This window comes from Homo sapiens, chromosome 19, assembly GCF_000001405.40.
Source record: "Homo sapiens chromosome 19, GRCh38.p14 Primary Assembly".
In the NCBI taxonomy this organism is placed as follows: Eukaryota; Metazoa; Chordata; class Mammalia; order Primates; family Hominidae; genus Homo; species Homo sapiens.
Window position 1 is genome coordinate 14,053,315 of NC_000019.10, and position 21,820 is coordinate 14,075,134.

The 21,820-nt window shown below is 54.9% G+C and overlaps 2 protein-coding genes, 1 non-coding gene and 1 pseudogene across 8 annotated transcripts, besides 6 other annotated features; 3 read left to right on the forward strand and 1 right to left on the reverse strand.

Moving 5' to 3' along the window:
* Positions 1-52: 52 nt before the first annotated feature.
* PALM3 (paralemmin 3) lies at positions 53-8,762 on the reverse strand. Of its 4 annotated transcripts, NM_001145028.2 has the most exons (7): positions 8,626-8,762; positions 5,801-5,849; positions 4,037-4,117; positions 3,348-3,490; positions 3,115-3,199; positions 2,066-2,111; positions 53-1,912 (listed from the first exon to the last, which is right to left on the reverse strand). In NM_001145028.2, exons 1-7 carry the CDS (start codon positions 8,664-8,666, stop codon positions 291-293), a joined length of 2,067 nt encoding a protein of 688 aa, NP_001138500.2. In that variant the 5' UTR covers positions 8,667-8,762; the 3' UTR covers positions 53-290. The 4 variants fall into 4 exon arrangements, with proteins under 4 accessions (NP_001138500.2, XP_047294719.1, XP_047294720.1 ...); XM_047438763.1 differs by lacking the exon at positions 4,037-4,117; XM_047438764.1 differs by lacking the exons at positions 4,037-4,117; positions 5,801-5,849; positions 8,626-8,762 and adding an exon at positions 4,213-4,324.
* Positions 2,786-3,286: an enhancer, noted in NCBI's record as "H3K4me1 hESC enhancer chr19:14166912-14167412 (GRCh37/hg19 assembly coordinates)". NCBI's record gives its function as "activates a minimal SCP1, AML or CMV promoter by ChIP-STARR-seq in primed H9 embryonic stem cells {active_cell/tissue: H9 hESC(primed)}" and the evidence as "EXISTENCE:reporter gene assay evidence [ECO:0000049][PMID:30033119]".
* Positions 3,287-3,787: an enhancer, noted in NCBI's record as "H3K4me1 hESC enhancer chr19:14167413-14167913 (GRCh37/hg19 assembly coordinates)". NCBI's record gives its function as "activates a minimal SCP1, AML or CMV promoter by ChIP-STARR-seq in primed H9 embryonic stem cells {active_cell/tissue: H9 hESC(primed)}" and the evidence as "EXISTENCE:reporter gene assay evidence [ECO:0000049][PMID:30033119]".
* Positions 8,703-9,257: an enhancer, noted in NCBI's record as "H3K4me1 hESC enhancer chr19:14172829-14173383 (GRCh37/hg19 assembly coordinates)". NCBI's record gives its function as "activates a minimal SCP1, AML or CMV promoter by ChIP-STARR-seq in primed H9 embryonic stem cells {active_cell/tissue: H9 hESC(primed)}" and the evidence as "EXISTENCE:reporter gene assay evidence [ECO:0000049][PMID:30033119]".
* On the forward strand, positions 17,011-17,990 carry EEF1DP1 (eukaryotic translation elongation factor 1 delta pseudogene 1; annotated as a pseudogene).
* Positions 19,291-19,460: a silencer, noted in NCBI's record as "silent region_10226". NCBI's record gives its function as "represses an Ori minimal core promoter by ATAC-STARR-seq in GM12878 lymphoblastoid cells {active_cell/tissue: GM12878}" and the evidence as "EXISTENCE:reporter gene assay evidence [ECO:0000049][PMID:35858748]".
* MISP3 (MISP family member 3) lies at positions 19,472-21,748 on the forward strand. Of its 3 annotated transcripts, none has more exons than NR_111941.2 (3): positions 19,472-20,563; positions 21,011-21,149; positions 21,392-21,748. NR_111941.2 is itself a non-coding variant. In NM_001291291.2 (3 exons), the coding sequence occupies exons 1-3, from the start codon at positions 19,996-19,998 to the stop codon at positions 21,407-21,409; spliced, it is 660 nt and encodes a 219-aa protein (NP_001278220.1). In that variant the 5' UTR covers positions 19,472-19,995; the 3' UTR covers positions 21,410-21,748. The 3 variants fall into 3 exon arrangements, 2 of the variants coding, with proteins under 2 accessions (NP_001278220.1, NP_001380506.1); NM_001291291.2 differs by having other exon boundaries at positions 21,076-21,149; NM_001393577.1 differs by having other exon boundaries at positions 21,076-21,149; positions 21,395-21,748.
* Positions 20,031-20,440: a silencer, noted in NCBI's record as "silent region_10227". NCBI's record gives its function as "represses an Ori minimal core promoter by ATAC-STARR-seq in GM12878 lymphoblastoid cells {active_cell/tissue: GM12878}" and the evidence as "EXISTENCE:reporter gene assay evidence [ECO:0000049][PMID:35858748]".
* On the forward strand, positions 20,047-20,165 carry MIR1199 (microRNA 1199). Its single transcript, NR_106715.1, has one exon. It is a non-coding gene; the product is annotated as a microRNA 1199 (primary transcript).
* Positions 20,628-21,148: an enhancer, noted in NCBI's record as "H3K27ac-H3K4me1 hESC enhancer chr19:14184754-14185274 (GRCh37/hg19 assembly coordinates)". NCBI's record gives its function as "activates a minimal SCP1, AML or CMV promoter by ChIP-STARR-seq in naive H9 embryonic stem cells {active_cell/tissue: H9 hESC(naive)}" and the evidence as "EXISTENCE:reporter gene assay evidence [ECO:0000049][PMID:30033119]".

Consider the following 21,820-nt stretch of genomic DNA (forward strand, 5'->3'; position numbering starts at 1 on the left):
CCAGGAGATGACGCTGTGATTCTGTGCTGACTACACACACATTCAAGCCGTCTTGAGTGCTTTCACATTTTATTTTCAAGTATAAAGGCTTCATCGCAGAAGGAGGCCAGGGTTACAGGCAGTGGGCAAGGGGTCTGGAAGCCCAGGTTTAGGTGGACGTGCAGGCTAGCTGGCTCCCAGGTGCCATGGCCAGTCCTGTGGTCCCTGTCTGTGCCTGGGACCCTCTTCTGGGTGCCAAGAGGCCGAGGTAGCTGTGAGAGGAGCTGGACATGGGGTGGAGGGGCATGGGTTCACATGACCGCACAACACTGGCACGTCTTTTGCTTAGGGCCACTTGCCTCTTCACCCTCGGTGGGGGCAGATGGCTCAGGCTGCCGGGCAGGCGCGTAGGTGGGCACAGGGTGGGCACTGGGGTTGGCGCTGGGCCCCTCCCCCTGAAGCAGTGGCTGGCATTCGGCGGGCTGCTCTGGGGCTGGGGTCTCTGCCAGAAGAGGTGTGGCATCCCCCAAGGGGCCTTGGCCCTCAGCAGCGGTTTGGGGCTTCACTCCTTCCTCCTCCAGGGCTCCTACTGGCTTCTCCTGGGGCTGGGGTCCTTCCTTCTCTGGCCTTGTCTCCGTGTTAGCCTCAAGGGGAGGCCCTGCCTCATTCATCTCCTCTGCCTGGGATTCACTTCCTTCCCTAGACCCTTGTTCTAGATTCAGATCTCCCTCCGTCCCTTGGGTCTTCTCTGTCTCCAATGATTCCTCACCTCCCCTTTTCTCTGCCTCCAGTGTCTCCTCCCCTCCCTTTCTCTCTGCCTCCAGTGGTTCTTTGGTTGCCTCTGGCTCTTCCTCACCTCCTTTCTTCTCTACTCCCAATGGTTCTTCTACCTCCTCCTCCTCTGCCCCTCGCTTTTCCTCATCTCCTTCCTTCTCTGCCCTCAAATGTCCCTCAACTTTTCTCTCTATGCCCAGTGGTTCCTCACCTCCTTCCCTCTCTGTTCCCAGCTTTTCTGCACTTCCTCTGCTCTCCAGCTCCAACTTCTTCTCTCCTCCTTTCCTCTCTACCACTGGTGACATCTCCGCTTCATCCCTCCCTGTCCCTGGCTTTTCCTCACTTCCTATTCCCATGGATTCTTCCGCTTTTCTCTTCTCTGCCTCCCAGGTCTCCTCGCCTCCTCCCGTCTTGGCCCCCTCGGCCCCCAGCGGGCTTTCATCTCCTCTCTCCCTCCCTGCCACCTCGGGCCCTTCCAACCCCTCCACCAGCAGCTCCTCCCACTCTTCACTGAGGGTCACTCTCTCCACCCAAATGAAGGATCCCTCCTCTCCTCCAGAGCCTCCCTGCCCATCACCCTCAGGGCTGCCCTGGGGCACATCTTCCCCTTCTATGGAAGCTGCTGCCTCTAATCTCTCCTGGAGCCTAGGCGAGCTAGTCTGCACGACCTCAGGGACCCTGCCTATCTCCCCCATGGCCTCTGCATCACTGCCACCCACCCCCTCCCAGACCACCTCCACGATGCCCCTGTCCTCCTTCACCCAGGCCGGGAGCTCCAGGCTACCAGCTCCCTTCCTGTCTCCGATGGCTTCCAGCACCACTTCCTCCACCTTAGCCTCCAGCTCGGGGCCCGTGGCCCCTGTGGCACAGTCCTCTGTGGCCCTCAGCCCTTCCCACACCACACTCACCACGCCCCCTCCTTTGGCCTCACCCACCCGCCCTTCGGATGGCACTGCCCTCTGACTTAGCCCCTGCTCTGGAGTGGGGATGGGGCTGGGGCATGGGCCATTGGCTTCTGAGGAGTCTCCTGCTGCCCCGGGGACCTGCCTCGGGCCTGGCAGAAACCCCAAGACATCCTCCCTGGGCTCAGAGGGGGACTCTGGAGGCGTGCCCACTAGTCCAGCCGGCAGGGAGGCTCTCTTGTTCAGATCAGTCTGGCCTGGGGGAGTCAGAGGTGGAGGGGAGAGGACAAAAGGGAAGACAGGGTTAAGATGGAACAAAAGGACTGCCATCCACACTCCCCTTGAGTCACCCTCTCACACCCAGGCTCTGGGGTGACCTGACCCCCAGACCTAGGGGCTCCCACACTTACCTACAGAACCTGCCTCGACAATGGACTGGGAGAGAGGACGGTGACCCTGCAGAGATGGCGGAGACAAGGTCAGGCTGGCCCTCATCCCCACCTCCAGCCTCCCTGCATGCTAGGCTCCCACCCCACCACCCCTAAATACCCTCAGTGGCTCTCTATTACCTTCAGGATCAAACTCCACATTGTACCTCTGCCTTCCTCATCTATCTTATTGCCCTATGTTCCAGGGCCTTGCACACAGTAGGTGCTTAAACAATACTGCATTCCCATAGCCAATCTGTATTAGGGGCCTACTTTGTCAGTTACTGGTTACCATGCACAAGGGACACTTAAGCCTTTTGTTTTTGGCACTTACATTCCAATCAACATAAATACAAATTAATTTTTTTTTTGAGATGGAGTCTTGCTGTGTCGCCCAGGCTGGAGTGCAGTGGCGTAATCTCGGCTCACTGCAACGTTCGCCTCCTGGTTTCAAACGATTTCCCTGTCTCAGCCTCCCTAGTAGCTGGGACTACAGGCACCTGCCAGCATGCCCAGCTAATTTTTGTTTGAGACAGAGTCTCACTCTGTTGCCCAGGCTGGAGTGCAGTGGTGTGATCTCAGCTCACTGCAACCTCTGTCTCCAGGGTTCAAGTGATTCTCCTACCTCAACCTCCCCAGTAGCTGGGACTACAGGGACACACCACCATACCGAGCTAATTTTTGTGTTTTTAGTAGAGATGGGGTTTCACCATGTTGGCCAGGCTGGTCTCCAATTCCTAACCTTAAGTGATCCGCCCACCTCGGCCTCCCAAAGTTCTGGGATTACAGGCGTGAGCCACCATGCCTGGCCTATACTGTTGTTATTCCCATTTTAGAGATGGGAAAACTAAGGCTTGGAAAAGGAAATTGACTTGCCAAGACCACAGAGCAAAGTAAAAGCGGGAAGCGGATCTGAATGCAGACCTAGTGGCCAGGCTGCCCTTGGAGAAAGCTGCATTCCTGATTCCATGTCCTGCCTTGAGGCCTGCTGGCCATGCCCTCCCATCCCACTCCCCTGATTCCCCCCTCACCTGTCTGCGCCAGCTGGGCCTGCCTGAGGGCTTGTGCTGGGCACCTGTGGAAGCACTTTGCAACAGTTGCAGCTGGGACTGGAGTCTGAAGAAGAGAGAGGGCTGCTAGGAGCTGGGCCCCCAGGCTCCTTGGGCTCCTAGACTCAAGCGACCACCTCCTTGGAATGTGCCCAGGGTCTCGATCTCACCCAGCTGGGGCAGGGTTCGGGCAGAGCTAGAAGGTCTCCACTCACGTGAACAAACTGTCTTCCAGGTTCCGGATTCGGGCCTGAGCCTGGCCCTCGGGTGACTGGGGGTCCTTCGAGGTGGGGTCTTCGGATGGCTCTGGCACTGCAGCTGCCCCATCCATTAGCCAACGTTCCCGGAGAGACTTCCTCTGGGCAGGGGAAGGGAGTTGGGGCTGGGCATACAGACTACCCCGGTCCATGTAAAGTCCCCTCCCGACCTCTGCAGGCTGGGCAGGTATCTTATCACCACCTCACAACCAGTTGCGACATACATCAGGCTGGGATACATGGCCACAGTGCCCCCCAACGCTGCAAGTGGGCAGACATCCCTTGTTCCAAACCCTTCCAAAATGAAACGGGCACTTCCAAAGTGAAATCAATGTCCCTCCCTACTGGCCCCTCCCTACCCCAAAGCTAGACTTCGGCTCCTCTCCATCTCCCCCAAATTGGGACAAACAGCATCACTGTCCCAGACTTTTCCCCAAATGGAACAAATGTCCCCATGACCACCCCACTTCGTCCCTCCCAGGCTGGGAAAGACATACCCCGCCCCGGCCAAGCTGGAACCAACGCCCCCAACTGCCCGCTCCCCCCCAAAAATTGGACAGAGGCTCCTATCGTCCCCCAAACCGACTTGCACAGACACCCCCCACTCCATTCCCCAGGCTAGGCAGGCGCCCCCGCCCGCCCCCAACCTTGAGACGCTCCACGCGGAGTTTCTCCTCCTCCACCTCCCGGCGCGCGGCGCGGATCTCCTCCTGCAGCCGCCGCTTCTCCTGCGCACAGAGGACCCGGAGCTGCCCGCCGGCCGGGCGCGGCCTCCACCACCTCCTCTTCCCTCCCTTTCCCCTCCCTCCTCCGCGGGGCTCACCGGAGCTCCCGGGGCTCCCGAGGCAGCGAGCCCGGCGGGGGTGGCCCAGCGCGGGTCTGCACCCAGGGCGGGGAGGGGGCTGCGGAGGCGCTGACTCAGCGGCGGGCGGAGTGGGGGGGGCGGGGCGGGGGCGGGGCCGGCCGCGCCCGGGATGCTGCGGAGGCCTCGCCCGCGCCCAATGGGGGTCTGTGGATGGGGGGTGTAGGGGGTGGGGCCTTGGGACAGCTATCGGGGGAGGGGCAGAGCTGGGGAGCTCCGAGATACGAGGTTAAGAGAAATGGGGATCAAAGGGAGGGTGCGGCCGTACGCGGTGGCTCACGCCTGTAATCCCAGGACTTTGGGAGACCGAGGCGGACAGATCGCTTGAGGTCAGGAGTTCTAGCCTACCCTGGCCAACATGGTGAAAACCCGGCTCTACTAAAAATACAAAAATTAGCTGGGCGTGGTAGCAGGCGCCTGTAATCCCAGCTACCGGGGAGGCTGAGGCGGGAGAATCTCTTGAACTCGGGAGGCGCAGGTTGCAGTGAGCGGAGATCGCGCCACTGCACTCCAGCCTGGGCGACAGAGCGAGACTCCGTCTCAAAAAAAGAAAAAAGGAGGGGAGGGTGCTAGTGAGATGGGGGTCCGAAATGGGGATGCAGCCATGGGAGCCCAGAGTAATGGAGTGTAGACATGGAATCTAGAGAGATGGGGTGCAGAGGTGGGGGTGCAGAGAGATGGGGTACAGAAGTGGGGTACAGTGAGATGGGGTACAGAAGTGGGGTGCAGATAGGTGGGGTATAGAAGTTGAGTGCGAAGAGATAGGGTACAGAAGTGGGGTATAGAGAGATGGGGTGCAGGGAGATGGGGTTCCATAGATGGGGAATAAAAAGGAGGGTGCTAGTGAGATGGGGATCCAAAATGGGGGTGCAGCCATGGGGGTCCGGAGAGATGGGGTGCAGAGATGGGGATCAAAAGGAGGATGCTAGTGAGTAGTGAGATGGGAGTGCAGCCACGGGGTCCAGAGATACTGAGGTGTAGAGGTGGGGATCAGGGAGATGGGATACAGAGATAGGGGTCAGAAATATGGGGTACAGAGGTGGAGGTATGGATAGATGGGGTATGTAAGTGCGTGCGGAAAGTTGGGGTTCAGGGAGATGGAGGAGGGAAGGATGCAGGACAGAGATAGGATCAGAGTGGTAGAGACCCAGAGATGGGGGAGTCCAGAGAGACGAGGAAGTCAGGGATGAAAGTTCCCAAGGAAGGACTGTCAGGATGGGGGCTCCGAGGTAGGGAGATTTGAGAGATAGCGGTCTGATAAAAGGCGGTCCGAGAGATGCGGCTCAGGCATGGGGTTTTTGGGAGGCTGGGGTTCAGGAATGAGGCATAGCCGATGCAGGCTCTGGAAGTGTGGGGGCCACAGCTCCCCATTCTGAGGGTGGTAGTGACCAGACAGGAACTGGGGGGCAGAGGGGGCTGGAGAATTGGTGTGGGGAGCCCTGGGCGGGGCTGGAGCTGAGGGCGCTCTCCGCAGAGATGACGGAGAGACGAGAAGGGAGCATGGTGGAAAGTTTGGGGGTGCCCAGGGCGCGGGGAGGGCGTCACTTACAGCGATGACTTCTAGCCGCTGCCGGTAGAGGGAGCTCTCCGCCATGGGCCTGTTGGGAGAGGGCAGGGGCTTCGAGGGGCTCCCATCTTGAACGCCCCCCTCTTGGCCAAGATCCCTGAGCAGTATGGAAATTGCCCCGAGCCCAGCACTTTGCCTCTGTTTCCCCTTTGCACCTGGGAAGAGTCTGGGCGGGGGGCGAGGGTCTTGGGAGGGGAACTGAGCAGTGACCACGACTGGTGAGGCTAAAGCCCTCCCTAAATCTGGCTTTGTCTCTCTCAGCCTCAGTTTCCTCATCTGTAAGATGGGCAGGAATAGCTTGACCACCCTGTCCTTGCCACCCCCGATCTCAGAGGACGCTTGCAAGGAGCTATTCATGCAGGGAAAAGCTTAGGGTACAGTGCTACAAAAATAGTCCCATTGTTTATGAATAATCATAATTTATATAATTCCATGATGAATAATATGTATGATTAATTATAATAACCATCTCCAGTCCAACCTGCAGAAACTCTCAAATGCCACCAGGCCCCTAACAGGCTGTGTGCCTCTTTCTCTTCCCAGTCCCACACCCTCTCTGGACCTCAGCTCCTACCCAGAATTTCTCAAGCGCTGGGGGGGCAAGCGAGTCTGTGGCCCTCCCACTGTTGCCATGGTAACCCCAGAGCTGCCTCCTCCACCTGCTAACCCCCCTCCCTGGGGACAAGGATCACTGGGTCACTCTGCCTAGGACTGGACTCTGAGCTGGGAGGAGGGGGACTTGCCATTTAAGGTTTAACTCGAGATTCCCCTGTCATTGTCTTCCTCAAAACATCTCTACTTCTCAGCCTCCAGAGTGGCCTCTGGACCCACTTAGGCTCCCGTGGAAGCTGGAGGGTGACTGTCATACTGCAGGATGATTAGGGACAGTCAGTGTCACACCAACCTTATCAACACAGACATGCATTGGGCACCCCTGACTATGTTGCTATGTTGACCACGTGTCACAGGCCAGTATCTAGAAAGCGATGTCTCTCTGCCTGTCATCTCCACCGGCATGGACGGGCGCTGATCAAACCCTCAAACATTTATTAATTTGAACAGTCACCCTACTGGGTAAGCCTCATTGCCTGAACTCCAGCTAGGACCTTCCAGATCTTCTGTGGCCACAACGTGAAGGCTATTAGCACTTATAGTGCTATATATATGATATATATATACTATATATAGCATATAGTGTTCTAAGTGCCCCACGGGGTTTCCGCTAGGTTCCCACAGCCACCTCTGCCTCCCCCTCCCTGCCTCTATCATGACACAGTGGAGTCAACTCTTTGCTGAGTTGACATTCCAGCTAAGAACAAAATCAGCCAACCATTAGCTAGCCCGTAACACGTGCCAGGTGCAATGTAATTCACTGAATCCTCCCAACGACTCTAGGAGGTAAGCTATATGAATGTGTCCATTTTATGGATGGGAAAACTGAGGTTCTGAGAAGTGGCAGCAGTGTCCAAGGTCATGGAGCCAAGATCAGAACTTGAAGCTATCAGATCCAAAATACTGAGAACACAGCTGGCGAGGGGGGTGGGGGTGCAGGTCTAGGAATCCCCATCAAGGTAGCTAAGAGAGCAGCCTGGAGACCCTGAATGCTGTTTGGGGCAAGGAATTGAAGTCATGCTCTTTCTTTTTTTGAGTCGGAGTCTCGCTCTGTCACCCAGGCTGGAGTGCAATGGCTCAATCTCAGCTCACTGCAACCCCCGCTTCCTGGGTTCAAGTGATTCTCCTGCCTCAGCCTCCTGAGTAGCTGAGATTACAGGCGTGCACCACCAAGCCCGGCTAATTTTTGTATTTTTAGTACAGATGGGGTTTCACCATACTGGCCAGGCTGGTCTCGAACTCCTGACCTCAGGTGATCTGCCCGCCTCGGCCTCCCAAAGTGCTGGGATTACAGGCGTGAGCCACCGTGCCCGGCCACGAAGTCATGCTTTGCAAGATATCCCAAAGGAAGCCCAGATTCTGTGCTTATAGGTTTGCCCCTGGGGGAGGGCTGAAGTCCCGTGGTCTCCTGTACCACCCCCAAGATGTAATCTCCCTGCCTCTTCCTTGCTGGGGGGGATCGGGTTCCCATTGCTAAGCAACCAGGTTTGTAGTTGGTGAATAATGCAATGGAGGACCTAGAAGGGTGAGGAACCGAATTGGGGTCCCTAGTGTGGGGGGAAGCCCCTTTTCCAAAACTCTTTCCAAACCTCTGAAGCCCCCTCTACCCTTTTAACCTTAAAAAACTCTCACCCCTCAGCTATGAAAAGACTTCACACACCCCATTCCATCTTGCTTATCTCTAACTAACTCTGGAAGAACAACGTAGGCGGCCTGGGCTTCTGGCCACCCGCAAGAGTTGGTGGCCATTTCATGAAGGAGGTCATCCTTGCAATGTTGCCATTGTCTTTCTCAGGCTGGGAGCTTTTAACTTCTGTTGGATCTCAAGCCTTTTCTCCCACCTTGGACACTGACTTTAGGGGCAAAACGTGGAACCCAGTGACCCTGACCTTCCCCACTCCCTGCACCACAGCAGTAGCCCCACCCCCTGGCTGGACTTTGGGTTCTCAGCCCTGGCAGCGGAAAATCCCCGAAGAGGAAGGGGCAGGGGGAGCCTATATCTCTCTCCCACCCCTTGACTCTTTAAGGAAGGGTGACACTGATGAGCCTATGGGGTTGGCTAGCCAACCCCTCCACTCCCCGGGTCCCCTTAGGAGAGACCACTGGAGCTCTCGGCTCCCAGACAAGGCCAGCATCCCCCATGAGCCCCTCCCAAGGCCCTGCCCACCAGCCCCCCTGACCCCCCAGACACTTACATGGGTGTGGCCAGAGACCACACCTGGCTCTGCAGGGCCATCTCTGCCCAGAAGTTCACTTTCTGGTCTCCGAGTTCTGGACCCACCACCCGCTTGCCTGAAGGTGCCCCGGAGGCTGTGACTTGGCTGCCTGGAGTGGGGGGGGGCTGCGGGCGGGCACCGGGAGAGCAGGTCCAGCGGGTTTGGGCCAGGGAGGCGGTAGGCACACCAGAGAGGGGGGCTGGGGGCTGGAGGGCAGTTCTGGGGAGGTACTATCAGCTGTCCTGATAAATTATTCACCAGCCTCTGGCCTCTTTGTTGCACTCAGCTGCCTCCCGGAAAACACTTTCACACACGCGTGGTCAAGCGTGGGGGTGAGAGTACTGAGTCGGTGACTCCCCCTGCCACCAGAGAATGGCATTTCTACTTGGCACCCCAATCATCTTGAGTCTGACTGCCTGCCAAGACTCACCCACAGGAGAGCACCATTGCATAGCACACAGGCTGGAGACTGTTTTATTTTTTTAGAGATGGGGGTCTCACTCTGTTGCCCAGGCTAAAATGTAGTAGTGCGATCATAGCTCACTGCAGTTTCAGACTCCGGGGCGCAAACAATCCTCCCTCCTCGGCTTCTCAAAGTGCTGGGATTACAGGCATGAGCCACCACATCTGGCAGATAACATTTTTTAAAATTATTTTTTAAGAACAGGCACAGTGGTGCATATGTGTAATCCTAGCACTTTGGGAGGCCCAGGTGGGTGGATCACCTGAGGGCGGAGTTCGAGACTGGTCTGACCAACATGGTGAAACCCCGTCTCTGCTAAATACAAAAAAAAACTTAGCCGGGCATGGTGGTGCATGCCTGTAACCTCCGCTACTTGGGAGGCTGAGGCAGAAGAATCACTTGAACCCAGGTGGCAGAGGTTGCAGTTAGCCAAGATCGCACCATTGCACTCCAGCCTGGGCAACAAGAGCAAAACTCTGTCTAAAAAAAAAAAAATTACTTTTTGAGCCAGGCACGGTGGCTCACGCCTGTAATCCCAGCACTTTGGGAGGCCGAGGTGGGCGGATCACGAGGTCAGGAGTTTGAGACCAGCCTGGCCAACATGGAGAAAGCCTGCCTCTGCTAAAGATACACATTAGCCAGGTGTGGTGGCACACCTGTAGTCCTAGCTACTCGGGAGGTTGAGGCAGGAGAATTGCTTGTACCCAGGAGGCGGAGATTGCAGGGAGCTGAGATCATGCCACTGCACTCCAGCCTGGGTGACGGAGCAAGACTCCGTCTGAAAAAAAAAAATTACTTTTTGATCGTGGTAAAATACACATAACAAAATTTACCATTAGTGGCATTTAGTATGTTCACAATATTATGCAATCCTCACCACTGGTTCAGAATATTTTCATCAACCCAAAAGGAAGTGATCACTACTCATTCCCCTGCCTCCCGTGCCTGGCAACCACCAATCTGTGTCCATCTCTATGGATTTGCCTATTCTGGACTTTTTGTTTTTCTTTTTTGTTTGTTTGTTTTTTTAGATGGAGCCTCACTCTATCGCCCAGGCTAGAGTGCGATGGGCACAATCTTGGCTCACTGCAACCTCCACCTGCTGGGTTCAAGCAATTTTCCTGCCTCAGCCTCCCAAGTAGCTGGGATTACAGGCACCCGCCATCACGCCCAGCTAATTTTTGTATTCTTGTAGAGACAGGGTTTCACCATGTTGGCCAGGCTGGTCTTGAACTTCTGACCTCAGGTGATCCATCCTCCTTGGCCTCCCAAACTGCTGGGATTACAGGCGTCAGCCACTGTGCCCGGACTATTCTGGATAGTTCTATAAAAATGGACTCACAGGCCGGGCGCAGTGGCTCATGCCTGTAATCCCAGCATTTTGGGAGGCTGAGGTGGGCGGATTACCTGAGGTCAGGAGTTCAAGACCAGCCTGACCAACATGGAGAAACCCTATCTCTACTAAAAATACAAAATTAGCCAGGCATGGTGGTGCATACCTGTAATCTCAGCTACTTGGGAGGCTGAGGCAGGAGAATCACTTGAACCCGGGAGGCGGAGGTTGCGATGAGCCGAGATCACGCCATTGCACTCCAGCCTGGGCAACAAGAGCGAAACTCGGTCTCAACAAACAAACAAACAAAAGACTCACACACTATGTGGTCTTTTGTGTTTGGCTTCTTTCACTCAGCATCACGTTTTAAAATTTCATCCATGTAGCGTGTATTTATCGTTCCTTAATTCTTTTTTTTTTTTTTTTGAGACGGAGTCTCGCTCTGTTGCCCAGGCTGGAGTGCAGTGGTGCAATCTAGGCTCACTGCAAGCTCCGCCTCCCGGGTTCACACCATTCTCCTGCCTCAGCCTCCCAAGTAGCTGGGACTACAGGCGCCCGCCAACACACCTGGCTAATTTTTGTATTTTTAGTAGAGACGGGGTTTCACTGTGTTAGCCAGGATGGTCTCAATCTCCTGACCTCGTGATCCACCCGCCTCGGCCTCCCAAAGTGCTGGGATTACAGGCATGAGCCACCGTGCCCAGCCCCCTTAATTCCTTTTTTATGGCTGAATAATATTTCATCATATGAGTATACTATATTTTGCTGATCCATTTATCCATTGATAGACATTTGAGTTATTTCCACCTTTTGGAGGAAATAAAATATTCTATTTATTATTTATTTATTTATTTGAGACAGTCTCACTGTGTCACCCAGGCTGGACTGGAGTGCAGTGGTGCGATCTTGGCTCACTGCAACCTCTGCCCCCCAGGTTCAAGTGATTCTCCTGCCTCAGACTCCTGAGTAGCTGGGATTACAGGCATGCGCCACCATGCCTGGCTATTTTTTGTGTTTTTAGTAGAGGCGGGTTTCACCATATTGGCCAAGCTGGTCTTGAACTCCTGACCTCAAGTGATCCACCCCCCAAAGTGCTGGGATTACAGATGTGAGCCACCACATCCAGCCTATTTAATTGTTTGTAGATTGATTTTATAACTGTTAAATATTTAGATGTTGGAGCCAGGCATGGTGGCTCATGCCTGTAATTCCAACTACTCGGGAGGCGGAGGCAGGAGGATTGCTTAAGCCCAGGAGGTTGAGGCTGCAGTGAGTTGTAATCACGCCACTGCACTCCAGCCTAGGTGACAGAGCAAGACCCTATCTCAAATAATAATAATAATAAGGCATTATTCTAGGCATGGGGGCATTGGGTATAGAGATGAACTAGACAAACAGAAAATGCTATTATGCAGCTCACTTTCTCGTATGGGGAGAGAGACAGATAATACACAAATAGAAAGAAATATAAAAGCAATTGGTGCCGGGTCTGGTGGCTCATGCCTGTAAACCCAGCACTTTGGAAGCCCGAGCAGGCAAATCACCTTAGGTCAGGAGTTCGAGACCAGCCTAGCCAACATGGCGAAACCCCCGACTCTACTAAAAATACAAAAAATTAGCCGGCCATGCACCTGTAATCCCAGCTACTCAGGAGGCTGAGACAGGAGAATTGCTTGAACCTGAGAGGCAGAGGTTGCAGTGAGCCGAGATGGTGCTACTGCACTCCAGCCTGGGCAACAGAGCAAGACTCCTTCTCAAAAAAAAAAAATAATAAAAAGAAGGCTGGGGCCAGGCACGGTGGCTCACGCCTGTAATCCCAGCACTTTGGGAGGCCGAGGCAGGCAGATCATGAGGTCAGGAGATCGAGACCATCCTGGCTAACATGGTGAAACCCTGTCTCTACTAAAAAATACAAAAAAAAAAAGAAATTATCCAGGCATGGTGGCGGGCACCTGTAGTCCCAGCTACATGGGAGGCTGAGGCAGGAGAATGGCATGAACCCGGGAGGCAGAGCTTGCAGTGAGCCGAGATCATGCCACTGCACTCTAGCCTGGGTGACAAAGCGAGACTCCCTCTCAAAAAAAGAAGAAGAAGAAGAAGGCTGGGCGCGGTGGCTCATGCCTGTAATCCCAGCACATCGGGAGGCCGAGGTGGGTGGATCATGAGGTCAGGAGTTCAAGACCAGCCTGGCCAACGTGGTGAAACCCCGTCTCCACTAAAAATAGAAAAATAAGCCAGCCGCGGTGGTGCCACCAGTAATTCCAGCTACTCGGGAGGCTGTGGCAGAAGAATTGCTTGAATCCTGGAGGCAGAGATTGCAGTGAGCCAAGATCGCGCCACTGAACTCCAGCCTGGTTGGCAGAGTGAGACTTTTTGTCAAAAAAAAAAAAAAAAAAAAAAAAAGAATAAAATAAAAATGAAAGCAATTGGTGGCAACTGCAATTGGGGGTGAGTTATTGAGAATACCTGAAATGGGGCTAAAGAAGGAGTGCTCTTGTAGGCTGGGTTATCAGAGACCACTTCCCTGAAGAAGTGACATTTGAGGTGAGACCTGAATAGAGGAACCAGCCATGTGACTGTCATTTCAAGCAGAGAAAACAGCAGTGCAAAGACCCTGAGGTGGGAATGCAGTTGGGGGAGGGGTTAAGGGAAGTACGAAGCTGAAATGAAGTGACACAAGGTGACAGTGTGAGAAGATATGACCTGAGAAGTGGGCAGGGCCTGCTGGGGCAAGGTAGAGAATTCGTATTTTTATTCTAAATTTGGTGGGAGCCTTTGTTTTATTTGTATTATTATTATTGTTTTAGAGATGGTGTCTTACTATGTTGTCCAGGCTGTTCTTGAACTCCTAGGCTCAAGCCATCCTCCCGCCTGAGCCTCCAGGGTAGCTAGGATTATGAGCAAGCCACTGTGCGTGGCTTGATGGGAACCTTTGAGAGGGAGGAGGTGGCTGGAAGGAACAAGGATGGAGAGAAGTGGATGAATCCAAAATCTGTTTGGAGGTGGAGTCAAGAGAGTTTGCTGATGAATTGGAGGGTGGCTAAAGAAAGAAATTAAGGCTGACTCCTGGGGTACTTTTTGGCACGAAAAACTGAATGGGTGAAATTGACACACATGGTGAGGAGGAGTAGGGTTGGAAGAACCAAGAATGTGGTTTTGGAAGTGTTCAGTCTGAAATGTCTATTAGACCGGAGACTGCTAGATATGAGTCCAAAGCCTAGCGGAGCAGTTAGAGTTAGAGATATAAATTTGGGAGACATCAGCATAAAGATTATATATATATAATATATTAATATATTATATATATTAATATATTATATATAAATATATTATATATAATGTATTATATATTATATATAATAATATATTTATTTATATATTATAATAATGTCTATAAATATATTATATATAATATATTAATAATATATAATAATAAATACATAATATAATAATAAATATAAATATATTATTAATTTATTAATAATTTATTGTTGATATATTATTAATAAATTAATAAATATAAAAAATAATAATATAATACATATATTATATATAATATATTAATGTATTATATATTATATATTAATGTATTATATATTATATATTATATATATAAATATATATATAATATTTATATTTCTATATTAATATATTATATAATTATATAATATTATATATTATAGATATTTTATAATATATTATATATATATTAGAAGTGGAGTCTCACCACTTGCCACGTTGCCCAGGTTGGTCTCAAACTCCTTGCCTCAAGTGATCCTCCTGCCACAGCCTCCCAAAGCACTGGGATTACAGGCGTGAGCCACTGCACCCAGCGTAGATTTTTTTTTTTGAGACTGAGTCTCACTCTGTCACCCAGGCTGGAGTTCAGTGGCACGATCTCGGCTCACTGCAACCTCTGCCTCACAAGTTCAAGGGATTCTCCTGCCTCAGCCTCCTGAGTAGCAGGCCCACACCATCACGCCCACCTAAATTTTTTTGTATTTTTAGTAGAGACGGGGTTCCACCACGTTGGCCAGGCTGGTCTCGAACTCCTGACCTCAAGTGATCCACCACCTCCGCCTCCCAAAGTGCTGGGATTACAGGCTTGAGCCACTGTGCCCAGCCCAGCCTAGATGTTTAAAACATGAGATTGAAATTTGTCAGAGCCTGAGTCCCAATAGGAAAGATTGTGCACTTGAGGCTGGGGGCAGTGGCTCACGTCTGTAATCCTAGCACTTTGGGAGGCTGAGGCGAGTGGATCATGAGGTTAGGAGTTCAAGACCAGCCTGGCCAAGATGGTGAAACCCTGTCTCTACTAAAAATACAAAATTAGCTGGGCGTGGTGGTGGGTGCCTGTAATCCCAGCTACTCGGGAGGCTGAGGCAGAGAATTGCTTGAACCCAGGAGGTGGAGGTTGCAGTGACCCAAGATTGTGCCACTGCCCTCCAGCCTGGGCAACAGAACAAGACTCCTTCTCAAAAAAAAAAAAAAAAAAAAAAAAAAAGTCTGGGCACGGTGGCTCATGCCTGTAATCCCAGCACTCTGGGAGGCTGAGGCAGGCGGATCACCTGAGGTAACAAGTTCAAGACCGGCCTGGCCATGGTAAAACCCCGTCTCTACTAAAAATACAAAAAATTAGGTGGGCGTGCTGGCACATGCCTGTAATCCCAGGTACTTGGGAGGCTGAGGCAGGAGAATCGCTCGAACCCCAAGAGGCAAAGGTTGCAGTGAACCGAGAACGCACCATTGCACTCCAGCCTGGGCAACAAAAGCGAAACTCCGTCTCAAAAAAAAAAAAAAAGATTGTGCACTTGAACACGGTGGTTGATGAGAACTTAATAGAACCCAGTTTATAAAGCTGGAGGGGAAACCATCAAGGCACAGTATAGACGCCCTGGGTTAGCAACGCCTGGCAGCTGTGACCACCTCTTTGCCCTGGAGAGAGCTGTGTAGAGCTACTGCCTGTAGCAGAGGGATGTCACCAATGGGGCTTGGAGGTAGGGGACACGGGATAAACTTTTTCTTTTTTTTTTGAGACAGAGTCTCACTCTGTCGCCCAGGCTGGAGTGCAATGGTGCGATCTCGGCTCACTACAACCTCCATCTCCCAGGTTCAAGCAATTCTCCTGCCTCAGTCTCCCAAGTAGCTGGGATTACAGGTGCCCGCCACCACACCTGGCTAATTTTTAGTATTCTTAGTAGAAATGGGTTTTCGCCATATTGGCCAGGCTAGTCTCGAACTCCTGACCTCAGGTGATCCACCTGCCTCGGCCTCTCAAAGCACTGGGATTACAGGCATGAGCCACTGTGCGTGGCCAATTTTTTTTTTTTTTTTTTTTTTGAGACAGAGTCTTACTCTGTTGCTCAGGCTAGAGTGCAGTGGTGTGATCACAGCTCACTGCAGCCTTGATCTCCCTGGGCTCAGGTGATCCTCCCACCTCAGCCTCCTGAGTAGCTGGGACTGTAGGCACACACCACCAACATGCTGCTAATTTTTGCATTTTTTGTAGAGATGGGGTCTCACTACGTTACCCAGGCTGGTCTTGAACTCCTGGGGCTCAAGCCATCTGCCCGCCTCAGCCTCCCAAAGTGTTGGGATTACAGGTGTGAACCACTGTGCCCAGCTAAACATCTTTTTTTAGTGTTATTTTATTTATTTATTTATTTAGAGACAGGGTCTTTCTCTGTCACCCAGGCTGGAGTGTATTGGCATTATTATAGCTTACTGCGGCCTCAAACTCCTAGGCTCAAATGATCCTCCCACCTCAGGCTCCCAAGTGCCTGGGCCTACAGACACAAACCACCATACCCAGCTAATTTTAAAAAATGTCTTCTTTCCTTCATTCCTTCCCTCCTTCCTTCCTTCTTTCCCTCCCTCCCTCCCTCCCTTTCTTTCTCTCTTTCCTTCTTTCTTTCTTTCTTCCTTTCTGCAGAGACAGGGTCTCCCTATATTACCCAGGCTGGTTTCAAGCAATCCTCCTGCCTCGGCCTCCCAAAGTGTTAAAATTACAGGTGTGAGCCACCGTGCCTGGCTGGGATAAACACCTTGGCTTCACTCTCCTCTCTTTCATCAGGTGACCCCAAGGAAGCCAGAGGGGAAGGAAGGTGAAACAGAAGTCTGAGAAGGGGTGCTTGTGAAGTAGAAGGAAATCAGGAGGGGGTGGTGTACCCAAAGACCAAGGAGCTAATGAAGAGGAGGACAGGGAATGAAGTCAGTGATTGAATCTGCCAAACGGACATCATAGGTGCTCTTGTCAGAAAAAGCTCCCAGAAGCCGGGCGCGGTGGCTCATACCTGTAATCCTGGCACTTTGGGAGGCTGAGGCGGGCAGATCATGAGGTCAGGAGTTCGAGACCAGCCTGGCCAACATGGTGAAACCCCGTCTCTACTAAAACTACAAAAAAATTAGCTGGGCGTGGTGGCACACGCCTATAATCCCAGCTACTCCAGAGGCTGAAGCAGGAGAATCGCTTGAACTCAGGAGGCGGAGGTTGCAGTGAGCCAAGATCACACCACTGCACTCCAGCCTGGGCAACAGAGTGAGACTTCGTCTCAAAAAAGAAAAAGAGCCCTTTCATCAATCTTCCCGCGTCCGCCGATTCCTCCTCCTTGGTCGCCGCGTCCTTGGCTGGCGTCAGAAAAATGGCTACAAACTTCCTAGCACATGAGAAGATCTGGTTTGACAAGTTCAAATATGACGACGCAGAAAGGAGATTCTATCAGCAGATGAACAGGCCTGTGGCAGGTGCCTCCCGCCAGGAGAACGGCGCCAGCGTGATCCTCCATGACATTGTGAGAGCCAGAGAGAACATCCAGAAATCCCTGGCTGGAAGCTCAGGCCCCGGGGCCTCCAGTGGCCCCAGCGGAGACCACAGCGAGCTCGTTGTCCGGATCGCCAGTCTGGAAGTGGAGAACCAGAGCCTGCGTGGCGTGGTACAGGAGCTGCAGCAGGCCATCTCCAAGCTGGAGGCCCAGCTGAACGTGCTGGAGAAGAGCTCGCCTGGCCACCGGGCCACGGCCCCGCAGACCCAGCACGTGTCTCCTATGCGCCAAGTGGAGTCCCCGGCCAAGAAGCCAGCCTCACCAGCAGAGGATGACGAGGATGATGACATCGACCTGTTTGGCAGCGACAATGAGGAGGAGGACAAGGAGGCGGCACAGCTGCGGGAGGAGCGGCTACGGCAGTACGCGGAGAAGGCCAAGAAGCCTGCATTAGTGGCCAAGTCCTCCATCCTGCTGGATGTCAAGCCTTGGGACGATGAGACGGACATGGCCCAGCTGGAGGCCTGTGTGCGCTCTATCGAGCTGGACGGGCTGGTCTGGGGGACCTCCAAGCTGATGCCCGTGGGCTACGGTATCCGGAAGCTACAGATTCAGTGTGTGGTGGAGGACGACAAGGTGGGGACTTACTTGCTGGAGGAGGAGATCACTAAATTTGAGGAGCACGTGCAGAGTGTCGATATCGCAGCTTTCAACAAGATCTGAAGCCTGAGTGTGTGTATGTGTGCGCGTGCGTAAGGCCCTGCCACGATTAAAGACTGAGACCGGCAAAAAAAAAAAAAAAAAAAAAAAAGAAAAAAAAAAGAAAGAAAGAAAAGAAAAAGAAAAAGAAAAAAATGTTCCCGTGAAAGGGGGCCAAGAACCCAGCCCAGTTGGCATGGCTGGAGGAAGGACCAGGAGATGATGCAGTGGGGAAGGTGCTATAGAGAAAACTTTTTCCCAGAAGTATACAGCTTATTTATTTATTTATTTATTTATTTATTTTGAGACAGAGTTTTGCTCTTGCTGCCTAGGCTAGAGTGCAGTGGCGCGATCTTGGCTCACTGTAACCTCCACCTCCCAGGTTCAAGTGATTCTCCCACCTCAGCTTCCCGAGTAGCTGGGATTACAGGCGCCCACCACCAGGCCTGGCTAATTTTTTTTTTGTATTTTTAGTAGAGACGGGGTTTGGCCATGCTGGCCAGGCTGGTTTCGAACTGCTGACCTCAGGTGATCCTCCCGCCTCGGCCTCTCAAAGTGCTGGCATCACGGGCATGAGCCTCCATGCCCGGCCGGTAACTGTATTTTTCCTTCTGGGCACCCCAGAATGGTGGGGTTGGGGGCAGGTTCTGGGAAGAGTCTGCTTCCATTAGGGGGAAAGTGGAAAACGTCCCTAGGGGAGGGTGGCCCGCGCAAGGGCATCGATCCTGCCCTTGAACCGCATGATCCGGCCCCAGCTGCTCTTTCCCCCTACCCTGGACGCCTCCTGTTTCCTGTCTGGGCCTCCCCAGGCGCCCGGGCCCAAGGTGACCGCCTTTCAACTGCAACCGCTAAGCTGCGCCCACGGCGCACTGTGTCCGTCTCTCCCTCCTCCCTCAATCCGGGAGTGCCCTTGGCAGCGGACACCTCCCGGATTTTTCCGGGAGGAGAGGGGAAGCCGCTTCTCGGCTTGGCGTGGGGGCAGTGGTGCGCGGCTGGGAACCTCGCTGAGCCCAAGCATTGGTAGGGAGACCCCAGCGGCCAGTAAGGCGGCTCCTGGCGCCCCCTCGGGCCGGAGCTGTGCGCTGCAAGGCTGGATCGGAGGGAGGGCCCAGGGGCCTGAGGAGTCGCTGCCTGCCGGCTGGCACGACCAAGCGGGACTGCCCGGGTCCCGAAAATACGGCTTCGGGGGACACCTCACCAAGCGGCTAGTGGTTCAGAACCCCAGTCCGACGCGCTGCTGGGCCCAGTCTCCGGGACGATGACGGGGACATGGCTCTGAAAAAGTGCCAGGGTGCGCTCAGTAGAACCCAGCACCCAGAATGGCCCCCCAGAGAGCGGGGCCGGGTCTAGGGAAGCCCTCTTCCAAGAAGTCCCGTGCCCTGAGGTGACTGGGCGCGCTAGTTGATGAAACTGAGTGCCCCACCGAGGCGCCCCTGTCCCGAGGGCGGGGCCAGGGCGGGGCGGGAGTCCTCCTGGCAGGTGCCGGGGGCGGTGCCCGGCCCTGCCCCCGGGGGCCGTTCCTGGAGGCCAGAGGCGGGTCAGAGAAGCCGCCGGTGCGGGCGACGCCTTGGAACCCACGGCCGCCACTGCCGCCACAGGTGCCTCACAGTGCCCTCTGTCCTCGCTCTGGGAATCAAAACCCCGGTTGGGAACTGAGGCTTCCGAACTGCTTCCAACCCTGGACACGAAGGCCCCCACCGGCCGGAGAACGAAACCCTGGGGTCGTCTGAAGAGGAGGGCCAGGAGTCCCCAGGGCCAGACAGCGAAGCCCCAGAGCTGCTGCGGAGCTGAACACCGAGGTCCCCAAGCCCTCCGCAAAGGACGTGGAGATCCTGGAGCAAGAGAGCGAAGTCCTCGAGCCATCAGTCGAGCAGGACGCAGAGAGCCCCGGGCTGTCCACAGCTGCGGGCTTTGAGAGTCCTGAGCCAGGCAGAGACGACCCTGGGCCGTCCGAAGCGCAAAGGGCGGAGGTCCAGGGGCAGCATCCCCCTCCAGGCCCTAAGACCTCCTCCTCCAGGTCAGGCTCGGAAGCCCCCCACCTGCGTTTTCCGCCGTGCCCCGAGGCTCCCCAGCGTCCCCCGGAGGAGCGGTTCATGGAGACGCCCATCGAGCGCGAAATCCGCCGCAGCTGCGAACGCGAGGAGAGCCTGCGCCGGAGCCGGGGCCTGAGCCCGGGCCGCGCAGGCCGTGAACTCGTCGAGCTGCGCGTGCGGCCGGTGCTCAACCTGCCGGGTCCTGGCCCCGCGCTCCCGCGCGCCCTGGAGCGGGCGCGGGCGGGCGCGCAGATGCAGCGGGACATCGAGCGGGAGGCCCACCGGCAGGCGGCGCTGGCGCGCCCCGCGGTCCCCGAGCCGCGCGCCCGGTCGCCGCCGCAGCCGCTGGGCGAACTCAAGCGCTTCTTCGAGGCCGCGGCGGGGAGCGGCTCCTCGGCGGGGGCGGGGGACGGCGCGGGCCCGCAGAGGCTGCCAGAGCCTGGGGGACGGCCGCGCTCGGCCGTGCAGGGCGGGTGCCGGGTGCTGGGCAGCGCCCCGCCGCCTTTCACTCCGTCACTGCTGGAGCAGGAGGTGCGCGCCGTGCGCGAGCGCGAGCAGGAACTGCAGCGCCAGCGGCGCAGCGTCTATGGCACCGCGGAGTTCAAGGAGCCTACGCCGAGCCTCACCGGTAAGCCGCGGGCGTAGCAACGCCGGGACCCCCAGGGTTCCAGCCGCCCCCACCGATTGCCCAACTTCAGTGGCCCCTCCTGTGGCCCTCCGATTCTCGGGGTCTCTCCCTCCAAGCTCCCAGACCCCCTCTCAATTTTGTCTCTTGCCTACCCCTTCTGGAGCTCCATTACTCGCTGTGATCCACCCCTCCACCGGGAGTGATGGACTCTCTGATCCACACCACCCAGGCTGCGCGGGGGTGGGGGCATTCCAGATGTCTTCCTTTTTGTCGGGTTCCAGGGAACCCTGACTGGGTTCTGGCACTCCTGGGTCCTCCCTCTGAATTTTCGGGCTCCTGCTTCTCCATTCTGGGTTCACCTCCCTCCTCCCTCGGGTTCCTGGGTGCCTGGAGTTGAATGGAGGCTTTCATGGGGAGGCGGAGGGTGAACGCCTGTGTGTGTTTAAGGGGTGCGGCCGGCCTTTCATCCTGGCTGCCGCCAGCTGGTGAGCTGAGCGCCCCTTCCCCCGCAGCGAGCAGGGGCGACGGAAAGTTGGTGGTGATCTGGCCCCCCCGCAGAAAGGTCTCGGAGAACGGCCTGGAGCAGGTGGGAGCCCCCTTACCCGTGTGCCTCTAGCGCTTGTCGGTCCCCCCACCCCTCCGGTGCCAGGACGCTTGGTGGGGAAAAGTGCATCCTCCCTGGAGGGCCACTCTGGTCAGAACTCAGTCTGGGACGCATCCCCGGGGTGAAGAGGAGACGGTGGTCTTGAGGCCCAAACCGCCACCCCGAGCCTGGATGCAGTGCGCAGGTCCCTGAGGCCGGCCTTCCTTCTGGTCCTCTGTCCCCAGGAGGAGCGCAAACCTTGAGGTTTGAAAAGGCTGGGACCCCCGGCCGGAAGTAACGTACGCGTCAGAGGAACAGGGCGGGGGGCGTCTAGCATTAGGCCTGGAGAAGGGTCGGCTCTCTGCATTGGGGAAGATGAAATCGACTTGCCTTTGTGAAATTGACCAGCCCCCTCTATAAAACTTACAGTCCCCCATTGGGAAACTGACCACCACCCACAACTCCGCCAGTGAAACTGCCCAGCCCTTCTCTGCCTAATTGCAAACTGAACTACCCTCTCCCTTGACTGTTAAGAGGGCCGGAGTTACCGCCTCGATTGCCCCACTCCCCCCACCCCCAATAAAGCCTCTTCTTTCAGGGCACTGCAGCCTGTTTTTTTCTGGGTCCTCTTCGTCTGGGGTGGGGCGGGAGCACGGCGGGCCGAGGGAGGCCCG